Below are 1,510 nucleotides of genomic sequence, written 5' to 3'. Positions count from 1 at the left end.
GCGGTATCTCTGCCGCTCTCCCGCGGAATCTGACTGGCACGCCTCACGAGAGCACCGGGCTGGCTGTATGTCGCGCAGCCTTCTGGGAGCTGTAGTCCACTTCTCTGCCTTCCGGGAGTTGTAGTCCACTGGGGAAATCCTGGAGCAAACCCTGGCCCTGTTCTTTGTATTGCTGGGACTCTCGATAGGGGCTGGCATAACTGTCCGACCTCCTTTCCTCACTCCTATCAGCCCCACACACACTGCTTGTTGCTTGGGGCCTTTTTTTTTTTTTTTTTTTTTTTGCTGTTGTCCCAGGTTTATTGAAAATATTACAGTATCTCAAAAAGATTCAAACAGCTTCCACGTGGCGTTTTGAAATTCATCCCCACTGTTGGCTGAGTGACCTGCAGGTTGGACAGACTGCCAAAGTCCAAAAACATCAGCATTTCCTTAATGTCAGGATATGTTAATACTTCAATGATTTCCTGATCCAGGGCTGAGACCTCAGGAACATGATTATCTCTCCTTTCTCTCTTCTCCTCCTGCAACTTGATGCAGATACCTCTCACTGAGCGCTTCAAATCAGCTTCATCACATGCATGTTGTAGCCTGCTATCTTGTTGGGGAGCTGTTTTTTTTTTTGTTTTTTTTTTTTTTTTTGAGACAGGGTCTGGCTCTGTCACCCAGACTGGAGTGCGCAGTGGTGCTATCTCCACTCACTGCAACCTCCACCTTTTGGGCTTAAGCCATCCTCCTATCTCAGCCTATGGAGTAGCCAGGACTACAGGAGTGCACCATCATGCCAGACTAATGTTTGTATTTTTTGTAGAGACGGGTTCTCACTCTATTGCCCAGGCTGGTCTCAAACTCCTAGGCTCAAACAATCCGCCCACCTTGGCCTCCCAAAGTGCTGGGACTACAGGAGTGAGCCACCACGCTCGGCCCTGGGGAGCATTTTGCTGGAAATAATGGTGATCTCCTTGCACATGTGTTGTTTGTGTGGAAGTTGCTGCCCGGGTGTGTGTATTACTTTTTTATGACGAAGTATAGAAAAGGGCTATCTTCATGGTATTAGTGTGAATGGGGCCCATGTTGGCAGGTCCTTAGTAAAAGAGGGCTCGTGGCACTTAATATTTACCAAGCCTCTTCTATTTTAGGTGCACAGGATACAGAGATAAATCAGATGCGTCCCTGTTCTTGAGACAAACAGGGACACAGAAAATGACAGGGTAAGATCCTCCATGAGGAAGCAACACCTCTAGGCAGGAAAGCCTTCTTGAAGGAGTGACTTGAAATGAATCTTGAAGGACAGCCAGGAGGTTAGATAGAGGATCCCAATAGCGATCCAGGTGGAAGGCATCAAATGGGCAAAGGGAAGGCGGCAGAAGAACACACACTGGCATGCTTCCCTGCCCCCTTCATTTTCTAGCCTTCACAGGCCCCAGGAACCTCTGTATTCATTGAGGTGGCTGAACCAGCTGCGGGTCCCCTGCCCTGAGCTGAGGTGGGGCCTCTGCTCTACCCCCGC

This window comes from Homo sapiens, chromosome 15 (genome assembly GCF_000001405.40).
Source record: "Homo sapiens chromosome 15, GRCh38.p14 Primary Assembly".
NCBI classification, from domain to species: Eukaryota; Metazoa; Chordata; class Mammalia; order Primates; family Hominidae; genus Homo; species Homo sapiens.
Note: the sequence above shows the minus strand (reverse complement) of the source record.